The sequence below is a fragment of the Homo sapiens genome, chromosome 14 (assembly GCF_000001405.40).
Source record: "Homo sapiens chromosome 14, GRCh38.p14 Primary Assembly".
Classification (NCBI taxonomy): domain Eukaryota; kingdom Metazoa; phylum Chordata; class Mammalia; order Primates; family Hominidae; genus Homo; species Homo sapiens.
In genome coordinates, this window is record NC_000014.9 from 88,761,597 (window position 1) to 88,783,844 (window position 22,248).

A 22,248-nucleotide genomic window follows, 5' to 3' on the forward strand; every position below is an offset into this window, starting at 1 on the left:
TGATGGGCATTTGGGTTGGTTCCAAGTCTTTGCTATTGTGAACAGTGCTGTAATAAACATACATGTGCATGTGTCTTTATAGTAGAATGATTTATAATCCTTTGGGTATATACCCAGTAATGGGATTCTTGGGTCAAACGGTATTTCTGGTCCTAGATCCTTGAGGAATCACCACACTGTCTTCCACAATGGTTGAACGAATTTACACTCCCACCAATGTAAAAGTGTCCCTATTTCTCCACATCCTCTCCAGCATCTGTTGTTTCCTGGCTTTTTAATGATCACCATTCTAACTCGTATGAGATGATATCATACTGTGGTTTTGACTTGTGTTGCTCTAATGACCAGAGATGAGCTTTTTTTCATATGCTTGTTGTCTGCATAAATGTCTTCTTTTGAGAAGTGTCAGTTCATATCCTTAGCCCACTTTTTGATAGGGTTGTTTTTTTCTTGTAAATTTGTTCCTTGTAGATTCTGGATATTAGCCCTTTGTCAGATGGACAGATTGCAAAAATTTTCTCCCATTCTGTAGGTTGCCTGTTCGCTCTGATGATAGTTTATAAATGTATATGCACCCAATACAGGAGCACCCAGATTCATAAAGCAAGTTCTAAGAAACTTACAAAGACACGGGCCATGCGTAGTGGCTCACACCTGTAATCCCAGCACTTTGGGAGGCCGAGGCAGGTGGATCACCTGAGGTCGGGAGTTCGAGACTAGCCTGACCAACACAGAGAAACCCAGTCTCTAATAAAAATAAAAAATTAGCGGGTTGTGGTGGCACATGCCTGTAATCCCAGCTACTCGGGAGGCTGAGGCAGGAGAATCACTTGAACCCGGGAGGCAGAGGTTGCAGTGAGCTGAGATCATGCCATTGCACTCCAGCCTAAGCAACAAGAGTGAAACTCCATCTCGGGGGAAAAAAAAAGAAACTTACAAAGAGATTTAGACTCCCACACAGTAATAGTGGGAGACTTTAATACCCCGCTGTCAATATTAGATCAATGAGACACAAAATTAACAAGGATATTCAGGACTTGAACTCAGCTCTGGACCAAGCAGACCTAACAGACATTGACAGAACTCTCCACCCCAAATCAACAGAATATACACTCTTCTTAGCACCATATAGCACTTATTCTATAATTGACCACATAATTGGAAGTAAAACACTCCTCAGCAAATGTAAAAGAATGGAAATCATAACAAACAGTCTCTCAGACCACAGTGCAATCAAGTTAGAACTCAGGATTAAGAAATTCACTCAAAAACCATACAACTACACGGAAACTGAACAACCTGCTCCTGAGTGACTACTGGGTAAATAACAAAATTAAGGCAGAAATACGTTCTTTGAAACCAATGAGAACAAAGACACAACACACCAGACTCTCTGGGACACAGCTAAAGAAGTGTTTAGAGAGAAATTTATAGCACTAAATGCCCACAGGTGAAAGTGGGAAAGATCTAAAATCGACACCCTAACATCACAATTAAAACACTTAGAGAAACAAAAGCAAACAAATTCAAAAGCTAGCAGAAGACAAGAAATAACTAAGATCACAGCAGAACTGAAGGAGACAGAGAAGAAAACCCTTTCAAAAAATCAATGAATCAGGACCTGTTTTTTTGAAAAGATAACAAAATAGATAGACAGCTAGCAAGACTAATAAAGAAGAAAAGAGAGAAGAATCAAATAGACACAATAAAAAATGATAAAGAGGATATCACCACTGATCCCACAGAAATACAAACTACCATCAGAGAATACTATAAACAACTTTATGCAAATAAACTAGAAAATCTAGAAGAACTGGATAAATTTCTAGACACACACACCCCCCCAAGACTAAACCAGGAAGAAGTCGAATCCCTGAATAGACCAATAACAAGTTCTGAAATTGAGGCAGTAATTAATAGCCTACCAACCAAAAAAAAGCCCAGGACCAGACAGATTCACAGCCGAATTCTATCAAAGATACAAAGAGGAGCTGGTACCATTCCTTCCAGAACACTTCCAAACAATAGAAAAAGAGGGAATTCTCCCTAACCCATTTTATGAGGCCGGCATCATCCTGATACCAAAACATGGCAGAGACAAAACAAAAAAAGGAAATTTCAGGCCAGTATCCCTGATGAACATCGATGCAAAAATACTCAATAAAATAGCAGGATGTTTAATTAGAAGTGACAAGAATAGACACTCTGGTCTTTTTCCTGCTTTTACAAGGAAAACATTCAGTCTCTCACCATCAGGAATAAACTTAGCTGTAGGTTTTTACAGATGCTTTTATAGCCGGGTTAAAGAAGTGGACTTCTAGTCCTAGTTTGCTAAGCATTTTAAAAATATGAATAAGTATTAAATTCTGTCAAATGCTTTTCCTGTAACTACTGAGATAGTCACCTGGCTTTTCTTCTTTAGCAATTATATAGCGAATTACACTGATTAATTTTTAAATGTTGAACCAGCCTTGTATTCCTGGAATGAATCCTACCTGGAATGAAACCTGGTTATGATATATTATCCTACTGACGGATTTTATTTGCTTATTAGCTTATTTTGTTGAGAATTTTTACATCTATATTAATGAGGGACAGTTGTCTGTAGTTTCCTTTTCTTCAAATGTTTGTCTGGATTTTGTATTAGAGTGATGCCAGCCTCATAAACACAGTTGAGAAGTAGTACTTCCTCTTCTATTTTCTATAAGCAATTGTGTGGAATTGGAATCATTTATTCTTGTAAGTTTGGTAGTTTATATCTTTTGAGGGAATAGTTCATTTCATCTCAGTTGTCAAATGTATAAGTTGTTTATAGTAATCCCTTATTCTCCTTTTAACGTCTTTAGGTCAATAGTGATATCCTGATGAATACTGGTAATTTTTGTCTTCTCTTTTTTATTCTTGGTCAGCCTAGCTAGAAGTTTATCAATCTGATCCTTTTCAAAGAACCAACTTTAGGTTTTTCTCTATTGTTTCACTGTTTGCACTAATTGTCTTCATTATTTCCTACTTTGTTTGTTTTTGTGTTTGCTCTTCCATTTCTATTTTCTTAAGTCAGACTCCTAGATTACTGACCTGAGATTATTTTTCTTTTAAAAAATATGCATTTTAATGCTCCAAATTTCCCTTGAAACACTGCTTTGGCTGAATTTTACAAATTTTGATATGTTGTATTTTCACTTTCTTCTTCTTTTCATTTTCATAATATATTCTACTTTCCCTTCTGTTCTGTGTTACTGATTTTTATTTTGATTCCATTATGGTCAGAGAACATACTCTATATGATTTCAATTCTTTTAAATTTGTTAAGGTTTGTTTTATAATATATAGCCTATTTTGGTAAACGTTTTGGCACTTGAAAAGGATGTGCATTCTGCCATGACTAGCTCATGCTGTTTTCTATGCCATGAATAATAAAGTCCTTTGTCTCTAACCTAGGAATTTCACGTCTTTGCCAGCATCCAAAGAAAAAAGTAACATATTAGTTTGTAACAAGGGTATTATATTAGTTTTCTATGCTGATGTCACAAATTACCATAAATTTAGCACCTTAAAGCAATACAAGCTTATTATCTCCCAGTTCTGCAGGGCAGAAATCTGGTTAGTGTGGCTCAGCTGAGTCCTGTGCATACAGTCTCACAAGGCCAAAAGTCAAGGTGTTAACACAACTAAATTACTTTCTAGAGTCTCTGGGGATGAGTCAGCTTCCAAGTTCATTCAGAACGTTAGCTGAATTCAATTCCTTGTGGTAAAGGGACTGAGGCTTTCACTCCCCTGCTGGCTGTCAAGGGGGAACTGCTCACCTCCTCAAGGCCAACTGCATGCCTCATGATGTTACCACCTCCATCTTCCAATCAGCAACGGCACATTGAGTTCTTCTCAAGCTTTGAATCTTTCTGACTTCTGCTGCATGTTTTCTCATTCCAGCTAAAGAAAATTATTTGCTTTTAAGGGCTCACATAATTAGACTGGGCCCATCTAGATAATTCAAGATACTCTCAATATCTTAAGGTACATCCCTATCTTAATTATATCTGCAAAGTCATGTGTGCTTTGTTTAACATAAAAAATTCACAGGTTCCAGGAATTAGAGTATGGATATCTTTGGGGCCAGTCTGGCTACCATGCAGACTCAGAAATTGAGTCCCCTGGAGAATTATTTATATTTTTATATTTTCAGTTCTAAGTATTCCATTTTTCTACAACTTCTATTTCTTTGCTGAGAACTTCCAACATTCTATTTGTTTTAAGAACAGTTACTTCATGGCATACTGTTGTGGGAAGTCAGGGACCCCGAACGGAGGGACCGGCTGAAGCCATGGCAGAAGAACATAAATTGTGAAGATTTCATGGACATTTATTAGCTCCCCAAATTAATACTTTTATAATTTCTTATGCCTGTCTTTACTGCAATCTCTGAACATAAATTGTGAAGATTTAATGGACATTTATCACTTCCCCAATCAATACTCTTGCGATTTCCTATGCCTGTCTTTACTTTAATCTCTTAATCTCGTCATCTTCGTAAGCTGAGGATGTATGTCGCCTCAGGACCCTGTGATTATTGCGTTAACTGCACAAATTGTTTAAACAATATGAAATCTGGGCACCTTGAAAAAAGAACAGGATAACAGCGATGTTCAGGGAACAAGGGAGATAACCATTAGGTCTGGCTGCCTGAGAGCTGGGCGGAACAGAGCCATATTTCTCTTCTTTCAAAAGCAAATAGGAGAAATATTGCTGAATTCTTTTTCTCAGCAAGGAACATCCCTGAGAAAGAGAATGTGTTCCCAAGGGGAGGTCTCTAAAATGGCCGCTTTGGGAATGTCTGTCTTTTACAGTTGTGGATAAGGGATGAAATAAGCCCCGGTCTCCCATAGCGCTCCCAGGCTTATTGGGACGAGGAAATTCCTGCCTAATAAATTTTGGTCAGACCGGTCGTCTGCTCTCAAACCCGGTCTCCTGATGTTACCAATGACAATGCATGCCCAAAACTTCATTAGCAATTTTAATTTCGCCCCAGTCCTGTGATCTCGCCCTGCCTCCATTTGCCTTCTGATATTTTATTACCTTGTGAAGTATGTGATCTCTGTGACCCACACCCTATTCGTACACTCCCTCCCCTTTTGAAAATCACTAATAAAAACTTACCAGTTTTGCAGCTTGAGGGGCATCACGGAACCTGCCAACATGTGATGTCTCCCCCAGACACCCAGCTTTAAAATTTCTCTCTTTTGTACTCTTTCCCTTTATTTCTCAGACTGGCCGACACTTAGGGAAAATAGAAAAGGACCCACGTTGAGTATCGGGGGCTGGTTTCCCCCGATAGCACACAGTTATAACAAATGTTTTACATTCTTTCATAAATTCAACATGTAGGTCATCCTGGGGCTGACAACTGTTGTCTTTTCTTGTATAAATTGTTGAGATTTTAGTAATTTTTATATGCTAATTTTCAGTTATATCCTGAGCACTTCGAATATTAAGTTATAAACTCTGAATCCTCTTAAAATTTTCCAGAGAATGCTGATATTTTTATTTATTTCAGCAGACAAGCAATCCAATTAGGTTCAAGGTACATATCCCTGCCCTCCTTCTGGGGTCCCAATGTTAGTTCAGTTTTAAAGTCTTTGCAGTGCTACCACATGTACACACACCAAAGGGGCAAATCTGAAACTTGGATGATTGTAGGTCAGTTCTCAAAGCGCCTGATATGCAGGCAGTTCCTGCACATGCAGCACAGAAGTGAGTCAACTATACCCTTATGAAGATGCCCTTCTTGAGCTCCGTACCCCCTACAATTTTCCCCATAATTTCCAGCTCCCAGAGGTCCCTTTTCATTATACTGGAGCTAAGAGTCTAGGATGTTAGCCTCTGCATACTATCATATACTTCCCACAACTGGGCCTGCCTCTGGACAAAAAGCATTTTTCCTATTTTTAAATTATTTGTCATAATATTGTTACACTGTAAGAGTTCTTAATATATTCTTGGTACAATTCTTTTCTCAACTGTATTTTTTTGCATATGTGTGTCTGCTTGTGGCCTACCTTTTAATTTTCTTAATGGTATATTTAAAAGAGCAAAAGATTTTAATTTTTTTAAGAAGTGTTTTATTTTGGACTAATTTGAGACTTATAAAAATGTTACGAAATAGTACAGTTTTCTTGTATCCCTCATCACACTTCATTACAATATAAACATTTTACATAACCATATAGTAATCGGGAAGAAGAAGGAAATTAACATTAGTACAATATCATTACCTAAACTAAAAACCTTATTCAAAAATTCACCATTTTTTCCACTAATGTCTCTTTTCTGTTCCAAGATCCTATCCAGGATCCCATGCTGCATTTTAACTGTTATTCCTCCTTAGCAACTTCCAGTCTCTATAAAACTTTCTTAGACTTTCCTTTCCTTTCATAACCTGGGAACTTTTGAAGAATACTAACCAGTTATTTTAGAAAATGTCTCCAAATTTGGATTTGTCATGGTTTCTCATGATTAAAGTGGGGTTATGCATTTTGGGTAAAAATACCACAAAAATTACATTTGTCCTTCTTTCCACATCGTATCAGAAGGTTTAGGGTGTCAATATTACTGATGATGTTTACCTCGATCCCTTGGTTAAACAGTACATGCCACTGTAAAGATACTACAAAGTTTTTCTTTGTAGTCACTAAGTATGCTAGGGGAGATACTGTGAGACTATGCAAATCCTATTTCTCTCCTCAAACTTTCACCCACTAATTTTAGCAACTATTGGCGGATTCTGTCAGTAACATTTACTACTAAAATATTTCCGTAATGTGATTGTCTTTTTTTTTTTGAGACAGAGTTTCGCTCTGTCACCCAGGCTGGAGTGCAATGGCGCAATCTTGGCTCGCTGCAACTTCCACTTCCAGGGTTCAAGTGATTCTCCTGCCTCAGCCTCCTGAGTAGCTGGAATTACAGGTGCCCGCCTCCACACCTGGCTAATTTTTTGTATTTTTAGTACAGACGGGGTTCCACCATGTTGGTCAGGCTGGTCTCGAACTCCTGACCTCAGGTGACCCACCCGCCTGGGCCTCCCAAAGTGCTGGGATTACAGGCGTGAGACATCGCACCTGGCCTATAATGTGATTCTCTTTTTTCTCTCTTTTCTTCAACATTTATTAATTAGAATTCTACTACAAGGAAGTTATCTTTTCTATTTATTTATTTAACCCATCTATTTATATCAGCTTGAACTCATGAATATTTTATTTCAAAAGTTAGCAAACTTTTTCTGGAAAGGGCTAGAGAGTAAATGTTTTACGCTCTGTGGGCCATACAGTTTCTGTCACAACTACTCAACTGGGTTATTATAACACTAAATCAGCCATAGATAATATGTAAACCATGCATTCCCATTGGGAGCAATATCATCTCCGAAGGGGCAAAAATTAGTTCTTAAATGCATAGAGGTCTGATTGCATAAAGCACAGAAATACATTCAATATAGGAACTGATATATAGCATATCTGAGCTATTAAAATTTTGTAGTGGGTGAGGGCATTGATATAGTTGGATCTGTGTCCCCAACCAAATCTCATGTTGAAATGTAATCCCCAATGCTGGAGGTGGAGCCTGATAGGAGATAACTGGATCATGGGGTAGCTTCTCATGAATGGTTTACACCTTCCTCTGGGTGCTGTTCTCATGATAGTGAGTTCTCATGAGATCTCCCCACCTCGCTTCCTTCTACTCTAGCCATGTGAAGTGCCTTGCCTCCCCTTTGCCTTCTGCCATGACTGGAAGCTTCCTGAGCCTCCCCAGAAGCAGAAACTGCTATGCTTCCTATACAACCTACAGAACTGTGAGCCAGCTAAACCTCTTTTCTTTATAAATTATCCAGTCTCAGGTATTTCTTTATAGCAGTGTGAGAATGGACTAATACAGGTGTTTAGAGAAAAGACAATATCTAAAAGGGCTCCTTAGGGGGCAGTAATAGAAATGCACTTGTAAAATACTGAGGTAACAAATAGTCATATCTGAATTCAATTAAAACCTTATTTACAAAAAATAGGTGACACGCCAGATTGTCTCAACTAGGAAATATAGTTATGTATACTAACCCATGCATACATTCTATAGTCTGTATACATAGATACATTCTGTATCTAAGTATTTGAAAATCATGAATTCGTATCAACACTTCAGATTCTAATCCGAAACCACAGGGCTCATTTAAGACTTCTCCCTTTATTTATAACTTCTTACTCCAAGAGTGAGAAACTAGGCTCTCATAATCTATGGTCTATTTACTTTAGTAGACACAAAGACAGTTCAGAATTGGTAGCCCTGTGGAGGACAATTTTACTAACTAGATTACAGCATTATGTGCAGTTTTTTTTTTTTTTTGGTCTTTATCCTTACAGTTAAGATACTGTTAAGACACTGTTTTTCAGTCATTTAGGTTCATTGTTCGCAACAAAGCTCAGCAGCAGAGGAGAGGAAAGAGCGCTTGTGAAACGGCCGCTGAAATTTGTTTCTTTTTCTCTTTTTACTTACAGTCATTTTGCAGTTTTGGTATTCTCTGTTTAAGTAATGCTGGGGCTATGGTTTGCACAGAAAGTCTGGAGAAGAGATTTTGGGAGGTTACTTACTACATACCTGCCATTGTCTTCACTTACCTGGAGGTCTGATAAGTTATTTTAATGAGGTTCAATTTATAATTTTACTTTTTATAATTCATGCTTTTTGTGTTCTATTTCCTATGCTTTTTCTAGAAATTTTATAGTTTTACCTCTCACCTTTTAAATTTTATATATGGTGAGGTATATGCTGGGGTTCATTTTTTCCTCATAATAGATATTCAGTTGTTTTTCACATCATTTGTTGACAAGAGACCATTCAGTACAGAGAAAAAATGCTGATGTAGGTTAAGATAAGAACGTTTCTGAAACAGGGAAAAAAGAGTGGGATCCAGTACACAAGCAGCAGGATTAATATTGGATAGGAGCTGAATGTATTGCTTTTGGACAGTTGGAATCTGAAGATTCTCTTCCGATTGGTCCAATTTTCTTAATGAGAATGAAAGCATGAGTGTTGTTCAGGTATCCTTCAGGTTAACTTAATATCTTACAGTTAAGTTTCATCCACATAATGCCTAGTATATTGCTGAACATATAGTAAAAACTCAACATTTATGGATTAATTTGGGAGACAAATGACAGATGTAATCATCTGAGGGTATATTCCCATTCTAAAACATTTAACAAGATTATTACCCATCCATATTGTGACACTATCATCTGAAATATATGGAAAGAACAGATTTTTTTAAAGTTCTTCTTCCTATTAATATTGCTGAGTAATGGAAATTAATTAGATATAAGCACTGTCATCAAATCCCACAATTACATATTAAGTTGCTTTAAGTATTTAATCTCTAAATTTATCATAACTATAAGGAAATAACATGTTAAACAAACATAAAGTGAGCTATCATCTTCCTCATAAATCTCCATTCTTACATGCAAATATATCAATGTTCCTTTACATTTATCTCACACATCTCAAATGAGCACTGTACACTAGTAGAGAACTCTATTAAACACTTAGCTGGTAAATGTGCATCCTTTTCTCAACCTCCAAACTCTCACATGAGCACAGTTCCCCCCTATCAACCTCTGCCTTGCAGCAGATAAGCCTGTCTTGTACTTAATGATTAACATAGATCGAATTAAAGAAGATACTTCATTCCCATGAAATTCACTAATCTAACTGTACTGGCAGACTCTGACTTCTCTTTATGTCTATACTCCTTGAACTCTCCGCTTGTGTTCTAGGTCCCATTCTCCTTAGTTTCAAGTACTTTACTCCTAGAACTATGCTTTCTGGAATTATTGCTTCCTCACTACTGAGTCATTCCTATTACCATTCAAATATACCCATTAAAAAACAATTCCCTTGACCAATTACCCATCATCCCATTTCTCTGCTCCTCATTCAAAGCAAAACTTCTCAAAAGAGGTGTCTCATCTTTTTCACTCCCTTTATTGTGTTAACATACTTCAAAGTAGGCATTCATCTCTTCTCCTTCACTGAAACAGTTTTTTCCAGGTCATGTATGACATTGCCAAACCTAATGATAAACTGTATGTCCTTATTCCCCTCCATTTTTCAGTAGTGTTTGACATAACTGACCACCCACGTTTTTGAAAGACTTTCCTCTCTAGGCTTCCTGACTTCACAGTTTATCAGCCCTTCCTTCTCTGTCTCCATTGGTAGGCACTATCTCCTGCACCCCACCTCTGAATATTAAAGTGTATGAGGGCTTTGTCTTGGCTGTTTTCCCTTCCTTTCCCAGGTGATTTCATCCAATCCCACAGCTTTAAATGCATATAGACTGTGATAACTCCCAACCCTGTATCTCTAGGTCAGCACAATGGATACATTCCTCAAATTTAACTCATCCTAAAGAGAATCTGATTTCCTCCTTACCTTTCCAATCTGCTCCTCCTTGCCTTAGTAAATGATATCACCATCCATTCAATTGCTCAGACCAAGAAGCTAAATTTCATCCTCACTACTTATCTTTTCCTCACTCATCTCATGCATTCTATTAGCCTGTCCTACTGGCTCTATCATCACCGTCATTTCTGCTACAATCTTAATCTGAACCAGCATTCATCTTACATCACAACTACTTCGGTAGCCTTCTGTCTACCTACCATTATTCCTCTATTGCTTCCCTTTAGAGCTTTCTCAACATAGCCAGGTGATCTTTAAAAATAACATAAATCTGATCTCATCATTTACCTCGGTAAAAACCCAATAGCTTCCTACCGAATTAGAATGAAACCTGAACCATCTAAGATGGCACTTTCAAGCCTTTGTAAGATATACCTTCGGCCGGACGAGGTAGCTCATGCCTGTAACAGCACTTTGGGAGGCTGAGGCAGGCAGATCACGAGGTCAGGAGTTCAAGACCAGACTGGCCAACGTGGTGAAACCCGTCTCTACTACAGACACAAAAAATTAGCAAGGCGTGGTGGTGCGTGCCTGTAATCCCAGCTACTGGGGAGGCTGAGGCAGAAGAATCGCTTGAACCTGGGAGGCGGAGGTTGCAGTGAGCCGAGATCCTGCCACTGCACTCCAGCCTGGGCGACAGGGCAAGACTCCATCTCAAAAAAAAAAAAGGTATACCCTCACCTACTTCTCAAACCTTAGCTCCTACCATTTTTCCTTTTGTTCACTACACTCCAGCTACACTGGCCTTTCTATCCCTTAAAATGGCCAAGCTCATTATGCTATCAAAGTCTTTGTCTGGAATGACCTCCCAAATCTTTGCCGCATTCATATTATTCATGCTTTGGGGCAAATATAACTTGCTCAGAGAAGCTCTCCCTAACTACTCCTAGTCATCCCAACATATTCTGTCCATTACTCTAATTATTTCATGTTTCCCTTCATGCTTACTCCTTCGGAGGTATCTGCATGCCAGTGTTACAAGGTAGGCACTATGTTTTACTTGATCTTTTAACAATCCAGTTTACCTTTAAATTCAGCCAAACCCACTGCAGCTACTCCACGAGTCTGCTGAAATCATCACCTGAGGCACTGGGTCATAGTACACCTCACTTGATATCATACAGGATGCACATAATTATGACCTTCCAGGTTCCCTGTGAGTGAGCATTTTTCTGGACTGATAATGCAGGATATCTGTCTTTCGGTGTTTTCAGCTCATGATGACACTGAACAGATCCACCAATAGAAAACAAAAACTTTGCTTGGTAATAAATCTCCAAACAGGGAATATCCAGCGTGGGAGGGCCTTAGGCAAGAAGCCCAAAGTATTTAAGGAGGTCCCAGTACTTACCCACATTGTCATATAACGCATAATAGTAAATGAGTGGATTTGGCTAGGTCCTGAGGTTTTTTTCAGGTTGACTCCTAGGCCAGCACCTGAACATGGATTACTATTAAATCCAGAGCAGTGGTTTTCAACCCTGCCTGCATATTACAATCATTTGGGAAGCTTAAAAATTAAAAACAGAAACAAACAACAAACGATACCTGGACCCCAACCTAAACAAATTAAATCACAATTTCTTTGGGTAAGGCTTGGCCATTGGTGGTTTTATTTTGTTTGTTTTCTTTTAACTTTCTATTAAGCAGCCAGGGTTGAGAATCAGGAATCTGGAGCAGTGTTCTCAAACTTTAGATTATATTAACATCACCTGGAGGTGATAAAAAACTTATTACTGGGGCCGGGCATAGTGGCTCATGCCTGTGATCCTAGCATTTTGGGAGGCCAAGGCAGGCAGATCACCAGAGGTCAGGAGTTCAAGACCAGCCTGGCCAACATGGTAAAACCCCACCTCTACTAAAAATACAAAAATTAGCTTGGTGTGGTGGCAGGTGCCTGTAGTCCCAGCTACTTGAGAGGCTGAGGCAAGATAATCGCTCGAACCCGGAGGCAAAGGTTGCAGAGAGCCGAGTTCATGCCACTGCACTCCAGCCTGGGTGACGAGAGCGAGACTCTGTCTCAAAAAAGCAAAAAACAGAAAACAAAAAACAAAAAACAAAACCACACAACTGATTACTGGGCTCTACACTTAGAGTTTCTAATTTGGTAGATCTGGAATGAGCCCAGATAATTCGTATTTTTTAGTAACTTTCCAGGTGATGCCGTTGCTAGTCTGAAGACCACACTTTTCAGAAGCAACGATCCAGGGCTGCCAGCTATGTGTCATTTTTTTAATAACCAAGTAAAGCAGAAACTGCTGGAACAAATCTGTTTTTAAGAAATGTTATGAATACATAATAGTTATACATTGGAACGAATCTTGAAAGAGGCTAGTTTTGTGTACCAATAATGACATGACTCATTTTCTCATCTTCTTCCTGCTCTTCCTTTTCCCCTGGGCATACACAGTCTTTTGGGGAGTCTTATGATTACAATATAATTATAGCAAAACTTCGCTAAGGTGAAGCAGTCCTCATCTTATTGGACACAGCTGATAATTCCTTTCTCCCTGAAATACTCTCTTCACTTGACTTCCATGATCTTATACTCTTGGTTTTTCTCGTGTTTCTCTGGCCACATTTTTGTCAGTTCTTCATCTCCCCTACATTAAAATGTTGGAGTGCCACAGGAATCCATTTATTAGATCCTTTATCTAAACTCACTCCTTCAGTGGTCTCATCTAGGTTCATGGCTTTAAATACTGTCTATATGCTGATAACATTCAAATCTATACCAGCTCAGATTGCTTCCCTGAATTATAGACATGTATGTTCAACAGCCTAATTTAAAACCCCACTTGGTTGTCTATCAGATAATCTCAAATAGAACACTTCTAAAACAGAGTTGCTTGGTCAAAGTCATGAGGCCCCTGTTTCAGGCCCTAGCTACCAGACGACATTTTTATTCCCTGGGACAGAAGGGAAACTGCTGCCTTGAAGGGAAGGACCTACTCCTGGCAGCATTCACCACCTGCTAACTGAATAGCCCTTGGGCCCTGAATAACCAGTAGCAATACCCGGGTACTATGTCAAGGGCCTTAAGTGAGCCTCTGAGGCTTGCTGGCTTCAGGTAGGATACAGCACATTATCAACTGTGGTGGCCATGGGGCGAAACTCCTTTTGCTTGAGAAAAGCGGAGTGAAAAGTAAATACTTTGTCTTGTACCTTAGGTACCAGCATGGCCATAGGGGTGGGTAGATCACCAAGTGGGATCTTTGGGTCCCCAATTCCAGAACCTGACTCTTAGATGGCATTTCTGGACCTGCCCTGGGGCAGAAGGGAGCCCATTGCCCTGAAAAGTGAGTCCCAGACCAGGCAGCATTCACCACAAGCTGACTTATGAGCCCTTGGGCCTTAAGGGAACATTGGCAGTAGTCTGGTAGTGCTCTCCATGGCCTGTGGTGGCAGGCAGTGGCTGTAGGGAGAGGCTCCTCTGTCTTTAGAGAGAAGAGTGGGAAGGACTGCGCCTTGTGGTTTGAGTGCCAGCACATCCACAGTACAACAGAACACCAGGTAGACTTCTAAGGTTTTTGACTCTAGTCCCTGACTCATGGATGGTACCTCTGGACCCACCCAAGCCTGGGGGAACTCACAGCGCTGAAGGGAAGCACACTGGCCTGGCCGGCTTTACCACCTGAGTGTAGAACCCCAGGGCCTTGAGCAAACATAGGCAGTAACCAGGGACTGATTACAGCAAGCCTTGGGCAAGACAAAGTGCTGTGCTGTCTTCAGGTCTGACCCAGCACCATCATAGTGGTGGTGGCCACAGGGTGATTATGTCATTCACCCCCAGCTTTAGGTGGCTCAGAAGAGAGAGAGAGAGAGAGACTCCATTTGTTTGGGAGAAAGTAAGAGAAATGAGTAAGAGTGTGCCTGCCTGGTAATCCAGAGAATTCTCCGGGATCTTGTCTAAGACCATCAAGGTGGCACCTCTATGAGTCTGCAACAATTACAGCATTACTGGGCTTGGGGTGCCCCCTAAAGCAGATACAGCTTAGATCACAACACCCAAGTTCTTTCAGATATCTTGGAAAGGCTTTCCCTAGGACAGGTACAAACAAGCTCAGATAGTGAAGACAACAATACCTAACTCTTCAATGCCCAGACACCAAAGAATATCTACTAGCATCAACACCATCCAAGAAAACATGACCTAACCAAAGAATTAAATAAGCTACCAGGGACCAATCCTGGAGGAACAGAGAGATGTGGCCTTTCAGAAAGAGACTTCAAAATATAGCTGTGTTGAAGAAACTCAAAGAAATTGAAGATAACACAGAGAAGGAAATCACAATTCTGTCAGATAAATTTAACAGAGACTGAAATAATTTACAAGAACCAAACAGAAATCCTGGAGCTGAAAAAATACAATTGACATACTGAAGAATGCATCCAAGTCCTTTAATAGCAGAATTGATCAAGCAGAAGAAAGAATTAGTGAGTCTGAAGACAGGTTATTTTAATCAGAGAAGACAAAAGAAAAAATAAAAAACAATGAAGTGGGTCGGGCATGGTGGCTCACACCTGTAATCCCAGCACTTTGGGAGGTCGAAGCAGGTGAACTGCTTGAGCCCAGTAGTTCAAGACCAACGTGCGTAACATGGCAAAACCCTGTCTCTACCAAAAAAAAAAAAATTAGCTGGGCATAGTGGCACATGACTGTAGTCCCAGCTACTCAGAAGGCTAAGGTGAGAGGCTCACTTAAGTCTGGGAGTCAGAGGTTGCAGTGAGCTGAGATTATACTGCTGCACTCCAGCATGGGTGACAGAGCAAGACCCCGTCTCAAAAATGAAAAAACAGAAACAACAACCAAAACAATGAAGTACCCCTATAAGATCTAGAAAATAGTCTCAAAAGGGCAAATAAAGGAGTTACTGGCCTTAAAGAGGAGCTAGATAAAGAGACAGGAGTAGAAAGGTTATTCAAAGTGATAACAACAGAAAAAGATATCCCCAAACCTAGAGAAAGATATCAGTATCCAAGTACAAGAAGGATATAGAACACCAAGCAGATTTAACCCAAAAAAGACTACTTCAAGGCATTTAATAGTCGAACTCCCAAAGATCAAGGATAAAGAAAGGGTCCTAAAAGAAGCAAGAGAAAAGAAACAACACACAACGGAGCTCCAATACATCTGGCAGAAGACTTTACAGTGGAAACCTTACAAGCCTGGAGACAGTGGCATAACATATTTAAAGTTCTGAAGTAAAAAAAAATTTACCCTAGAATAGTATATCCAGTGAAATTATCCCTCAACATGAAGGAGAAACAAAGACTTTCCCAAACAAAAGCTGAGGGATTTCAACACCAGACCTGTCCTACAAGAAATGCTAAAGGAAGCACTTCAATCAGAAAGAAAAGGACATTAATGAGCAATAAGTAATCCCAAGTGGGTTTTGAAGGTACAAAACTCACTGGTAATAGTAAGTACACAGAAAAACACAGAATATTATAACACTGCAACTGTGGTATGTAAACTACTCTTATACTAAGTAGAAAGACTAAATGAACCAATAAAAATAATAACTACAACAACTTTTTAAGACATACGCAGTACAATAAGATAGAAATAACAAAAAGTTAAAAAGCAGGAGGATGGGCCGGGCACAGTGGCTCATGCCTGTAATCCCGGCACTTTGGGAGCTGAGGCAGGCAGATTGCTTGAGCCCAGGAGCTCAAGACCAGCCTGGGCAACATGGCAAAATCCATCTCTACAAAAACTACAAAAATTAGCTGGACATGGTGGCACACACCTGTAGTCCCAGCTACTCAGGAGGCTGAGGTAGGAGGGTCACCTGAGCCTGGGAAGTCAAGGCTGCAGTGAGTCAAGACTGTGCCACTCTACTCCTGCCTGGGCAAAAGAGTGACATCCTGTCTCAAAAAATACAGCAAATTTTTAAAAATGAGGGGACCAAGTTAGGGCATAGAGTTTTTGTTTTCTCTTTGTTTATACAAACAGTGTTAAGTTGTTATCAGCTTAAAATAATGGATGATAGTATTTGCAAGTCTCATGGTAACCTCAAACCAAAAGACATAAAATGGATACACAAAAAATAAAAAGCAGAAAACTAAATCATATCACCAGAGAACATCACCTTAACTAAAATAAGACCTGAACGAAAGAAGGAAAAAAAAGACAATGAAACAACAAGAAAACAAATAACAAAACAGCAAGAGAAAGTTCTTACTTATCAATAACAATAAAGATTTGTTTAATATTGTATGGATTCCTGCAAGTTTGGGGCTCTCTTCAGGTACACAAGAGTTAAAAACTTCAATTTTGAGTGTACGACTTTTCTCAGAAGCCACTGTGGTTTGCCCTGTTAAGTATATATTATATTGACAATTCTGTTATTTTCTGTTTCTGGACATAGAACTGTGGAAGGTTAAGAAGTGGTAAGTGGCTGGGTGTGGTGGCTCACGCCAGTAATCCTAGAACTTTGGGAGGCCGAGGCGGGTGGATCACGAGGTCAGGAGATCCAGGCCATCCTGGCAAACATGGTGAAACCCTGTCTCTACTAAAATACAAAAAATTAGCTGGGCAATGTGGCGCACGCCTGTAGTCCCAGCTACTCAGGAGGCTGAGGCAGAGGAATCACTTAAACCAGGGAAGCGGAGGTTGCAGTGAGCCAAGAATGCGCCACTGCACTCCAGCCTGGCGACACAGCAAGACTCCATCTCAAAAACAAAACAAAACAAAACAAAGTGGTAAGTTAAATATTTCAGGGATCAATAATGCAGTTTATCAAAGATATTTGGGTTTTCTCCCTTTTAAGCATATAACAGGATTTCATTTTTGGGCTTCTTTGTGGTTGGTTGGAACAATGTTATTAGTTTTTGGGGTTTCTTTCAAATGAGTTAGGAGCCTATGTGATGAAACTTCCATGCTAAAGCATTTAGATTGTAGATTGTATATGTGAGAATTTTTGGAGCTCTCTTTTCTTCTGGCGCAAGCAACCATCAATGTTCAAGGTAATCACTGCTCCATTAGTCTGTGTTCAAGAGTAACCACAAAGAACAGAACCCTTAGGGAAACTAATTAATGATGGGTATGAAAAATATACCTTCGTTATTAAGCAATCCAGGTTTTGGGGATATTTGTTACCATACCAAAATTTAGTCTATCTTGACTGATTAAAGCCTTCTTCTAATATCTTTTTTCCTGAAGCCATAAAGAAAAAGCGAAACTATGAGTATCATATCAGAAGTTTAAATATAGCACAGAAATATAGATTTACTCAACAGAAAGGGAACTGAACCAGATCCTGCCTTCTGCCACTGATAAGTTATGAGACCTATGGCTAATTACTTAATGTCCAATAGTATCAACAGTTTATATAATAAAGGCTAACAAGGGATAATGGCACGTCTTTCATTTACATCATCCCCAAGAAAATGAGTTGGTTCTCTGTCATCTTTAGAAGGTGACCAATTACCTTGAACTTGAATTTACTGCAATTCTTACCCTAATTAAAAAGCTCAAATTGTCCCATGTAGAAGTCACTTCATATTGCCTCCTTGGAACTTTGTTTGTCACCCTACTAGTCTTTTATATATCCTCTGCTCTCTGATGTCAAGATATTCTAGGCGCAAACCAGGATCAGCTGTTTCTCCATTAATCCTTAGTTTTTATCTTGAGGAATGAATTTTAAGACCAGAGTCTGGGACTTGCTATCTATACTGGCTTTGTCACAGTTTTGTAAACTTTCAGTGGATAGAACTAGGTTAAAAAATGCATATATGATACATTGTGAGTTCATATGGACATTTCCAATTCAAATCCAGAACTACAAAATTTTTACTTCTATGTTACTGTGAGGAAATAATTCTCTATGGATCTCTCATGTTTCTGAAAAAAAATTTTTTTTTTTGAAATGGAGTCTTGCTCTGTTGCCCAGGATGGAGTACAGTGGTGCAATCTCGGCTCACTCTGTAACCTCCACCTCCCAGGTTCAAGAGATTCTCCTGCCTCAGCATCCCAAGTAGCTGGGATTACAGAAGCACACCACCACATCCAGCTAATTTTTGTATTTTTAGTACAGATGGGGTTTCACCATGTTGGCCAGGCTGGTCTTGAACTTCTGACCTCTAAGTGATCCACCTGCCTCAGCCTCCCAAAGTGCTGAGATTATAGGCATAAGTCACCACACCCAGCCCGTGTTTCTGAAAATTCTGAATGCAGAGGTATTGACTGTCTTTGTTCTAGGCTATTTTTTGGAGGATATTTGTATAGCAAACAGACTTGAAAAATAAAGATAATATCTCCCTCTGCACAAAGGGTAGATTTGTTTACTGTTCAGTATAATAAATGTATCTCTCTCCAGCACAAAGGACACTTTATCAGTCAGGGTTCTGCAGAGAAACAGAATAGAATACATACAAATGGATTTATTTCAAGGAATTGGCTCACATGACTGTGAGGATCGACAGGTCTAAAATCCACAGGGCAGGGCAGCAGTTGATGTTTATAAAAAATCTTTTTTTTTTTCTTTTAAGATGGAGTCTCACTCACTGTGTCATCCAGGCTGGAGTGCAGAGGCGCGATCTTGGCTCACTGCAACCTCCGCCTCCCAGATTCAGGCAATTCTTGTGCCTCAGACTCCCAAGTACCTGGGATTACAGGCGCGCGCCATCATGCCCAGCTAATTTTGTATTTTTGGTAGAGACGGGGTTTCATCATCTTGGCCAGAATGGTCTCGATCTCTTGACCTCGTGATCCATCTGCCTTGTCCTCCCAAAGTGCTGGGATTACAAGTGTGAGCCACTGCACCTGGCTGAGTGGGGCCCCTTATAAAGAATAATCTCCTTTCCTGAAAGCCAACTGATAAGATGTTAATCATATCTATAAAATACCTTCACAGCTCACTTAATGTTTGATTAAATCATCTGGTACTATATAACCTAGCCAAGATGACACAGAAAACTAACCATCACAAGCAGGTTTGTTTGCAGTCTATTATAAAAGATTCAGTTTCCCTAAACTCCAGGTTACTTAGCTGTGATGTAAACTCACAATTTAGGCTCCTCTATATCACCCTGTGGGTTTAGGCGGGCAAAGATGACTGATACAAATACAATGCTCATGCTGTTTTCTGTGCATATACAAAGTGATAAATCCTTTTGTCTCTGACCCAGAAGCTGGTGTGTTCTGTCAGCATCTAAGAAATTGTGATAGGCTCCTAGTAACTTTCCAGTAGGGTAAAACTGCAGAACTTTCACAGTTCTTCACACTTACATCTGATTTTTTTTCTTCCATCCTGAGAATTTTGGTTCTCAAATGTAATAGATTTATAAATCAGAATGTCCCCAAATTACTGATTTGTTTTATCCCACCTTGCACACACCACAGACTCAGAATAACAATACCAATGATACTACCACTAATTATAATTACTAAAAATAGTCACTTCTTTTGTATATCCTTATCCCCTCTTTGCATTTCTTATTGATATGGTTTAGTTGTGTCCCCACCCAAATCTCACCTTGATTTGTAGTTCTCATAATCCCCAGACATGGGAGGGACCTGGACAAGGTAACTGAATCATGGTGACGATTACTCTCATGCTGTTCTCATGATAGTGAGTTCCCATGAGATCTGATGATTTTATAAAGGGCTTTTCCCCCTCTTCACTCTGCACTTGTCCTTGCTGCCACCATGTGAAGAAGGACATGTTTGCTTCCCCTTCTGCCATAATTGTAAGTTTCCTGAGGCTTCTCCAGCCCTGCAGAACTGTGAGTCAATTAAACCTCTTTCCTTTACAAATTACCCAGTCTTGATTATGTTTTTATTAGCAGTGTCAGAACGAACTAATTCAGTAAATTGGTAAAGATACCCAAAAATGTGGAAGTGACTTTGTAACTGGGTAACAGGCAGAGGCTAGAACAGTTTGGAGGGCTCAGAAGAAGATAGGAAAATGTGGGAAAGTTTGGAACTTCCTAAAGACTTGGAGGGCTCCGAAGACAGGAAGATGTGGGAAAGTCTGTAAGTTCCTAGAGACTTGTTGAATGGCTTTGTCTAAAATGATGATAGTGATATGGACAATAAGGTCCACCCTGAGGTGGTCTCAGATGGAGAAGAGAAACTTGTTGGGAACTGGAGTAAAGATCAATCTTACTATGCAAAGAGACTGGCAGCATTTTGCCCCTGCCCTAGAGATCTGTGGAACTTTGAACTTAAGAGAGATGATTTAGGGTATCTGGTGGAAGAAATTTCTAAGCGACAAAGAATTCAAGAGGAAGCAGAGCATGAAAGTTTGGAAATTTTTCAGCCTGATGATGCAGTAGAAAAGAAAAACCCATTTTCTGGGGAGAAATTCAAGCCTGCTACAGAAATCTACATAAGAACGAGGAGCCAAAGGCTAATCACAAAGACAAAGAGGAAAACGTCTCCAGGCCATGTCAGAGACTTTTGCGGCAGCCCCTCCCATCACAGGCTCGGAGGCCTCAGAGGAAAAACTGGTTTCCTGTGCCAGGTCCAAGACACCTCTGCTACATACAGCCTAGAGACTTGGTGCCCTGTGTCCCCACCACTCCAGCTGTGGCTAAAAGAGGCCAAGGTACAGCTCAGGCCATGGCTTTGGAGGGTGCAAGCCCCAAGCCTTGGCAGCTTCCACATGGTGTTGGTCCTGCAAATGTGCAGAAGACAAGAACTGAGGTTTGGGAACCTCTGCCTAGATTTCAGAGAATGTATGAAAATGCCTGGATCGGGCACGGTGGCTCACATCTGTAATCCCAGCACTTTGGGAGGCTGAGGTGGGTGGATCACCTGAGGTCAGGAGTTCAAGATCAGCCGGGCCAACATGGTGAAATTCTGTCTCTACAAAAAATACAGAATTAGTCAGGTGTGGTGGCACACACCTGTAGTCCCAGCTACTCAGGAGGCTGAAACAGAAGAATCGCTTGAACCCAAGAGCTGGAGGTTGCAGTAAGCCAAGATTGAGCCACTGCACTCCTGCCTGGGCAAGACAGAGTGAGACTCCATGTCAAAAAAAAAGAAAAAAAAAGAAGAAAGAAAGAAAAGAAAATGCCTGGACGTCCAGGTAGAGGTATGTTGCAGGGGCGGAGCCCTCATGGAGAACCTCTGCTAGGGAAGTGCATAAAGGAAATGTGGGGTTGGAGCCCCCACACACAAATGTGGGGTTGGATCCCCTACACAGCTTCACTAGGGCACTGCCTAGTAGAGCTGTGAAAAGACAGCCACAGTCTGGAGGATGGTGTAAATGTAAAGGACTAAAATCTCCAATCAAAAGAAATAGAGTAGGTGAATGGATGAACAGATCAATGGAAGATCCAATGGAACAGATCAATGGAGCTTCCACTGATCCAAGAAACACACTTCACCTATAAATACACACACGGACTGAAAATAAAAGGATGGAAAAAGATATTCCATGCCAATAGAAACCAAAAAAGAGCAGGAGTAGCTATATTTATACCAGAAAAAGTAGATTTGAAGTAAAAAAACAAGTGACAAAGTCACCGTATAATGACAAAGGGGTCAATTCAGCAAGAAGATATAACAATTTTAAATATATACGCACCCAACACTAGAGCACTTAGATATATAAAGCAAGTATTATTAGAGCTAGAGAGAGAGACAGGCCCCAATATAATAGCTGGAGATTTCAACAACCCATTTGCAGCACTGGACAGATATTCCAGACAGAAAATCAACACAGAAACATCTGACTTAATGTGCACTATAGACCAAATGGATCTAATAGATATTTGCAGAATATTTCATCCAAT

At 39.9% G+C, this 22,248-nt stretch overlaps 1 protein-coding gene across 25 annotated transcripts in view, besides 1 other annotated feature; it reads right to left on the reverse strand.

Moving 5' to 3' along the window:
* Positions 1 to 22,248, reverse strand: part of EML5 (EMAP like 5) — a 180,523-nt gene that overhangs the window by 149,166 nt on the left and 9,109 nt on the right. Inside the window, exons 1-2 of one of the 25 annotated variants that reach the window (XM_011536534.4) lie at positions 5,152 to 5,191; positions 3,804 to 3,927 (exon numbers count right to left, since the gene is read on the reverse strand). The exons of 23 other annotated variants lie outside the window; for them this stretch is intronic. In XM_011536534.4, the coding sequence (XP_011534836.1) occupies positions 3,804 to 3,823 (20 nt within the window). In that variant the 5' untranslated portion in view covers positions 3,824 to 3,927; positions 5,152 to 5,191. Of the gene's footprint in view, positions 1 to 3,803; positions 5,018 to 5,151; positions 5,192 to 22,248 lie in introns of those variants that run through there. One more of the 25 variants, XM_017021069.3, reaches the window with a different exon arrangement.
* Positions 4,716 to 4,916: a silencer, noted in NCBI's record as "peak2226 fragment used in MPRA reporter construct". NCBI's record gives its function as "represses an SCP1 promoter by STARR-seq MPRAs in K562 erythroleukemia cells {active_cell/tissue: K562}" and the evidence as "EXISTENCE:reporter gene assay evidence [ECO:0000049][PMID:32103011]".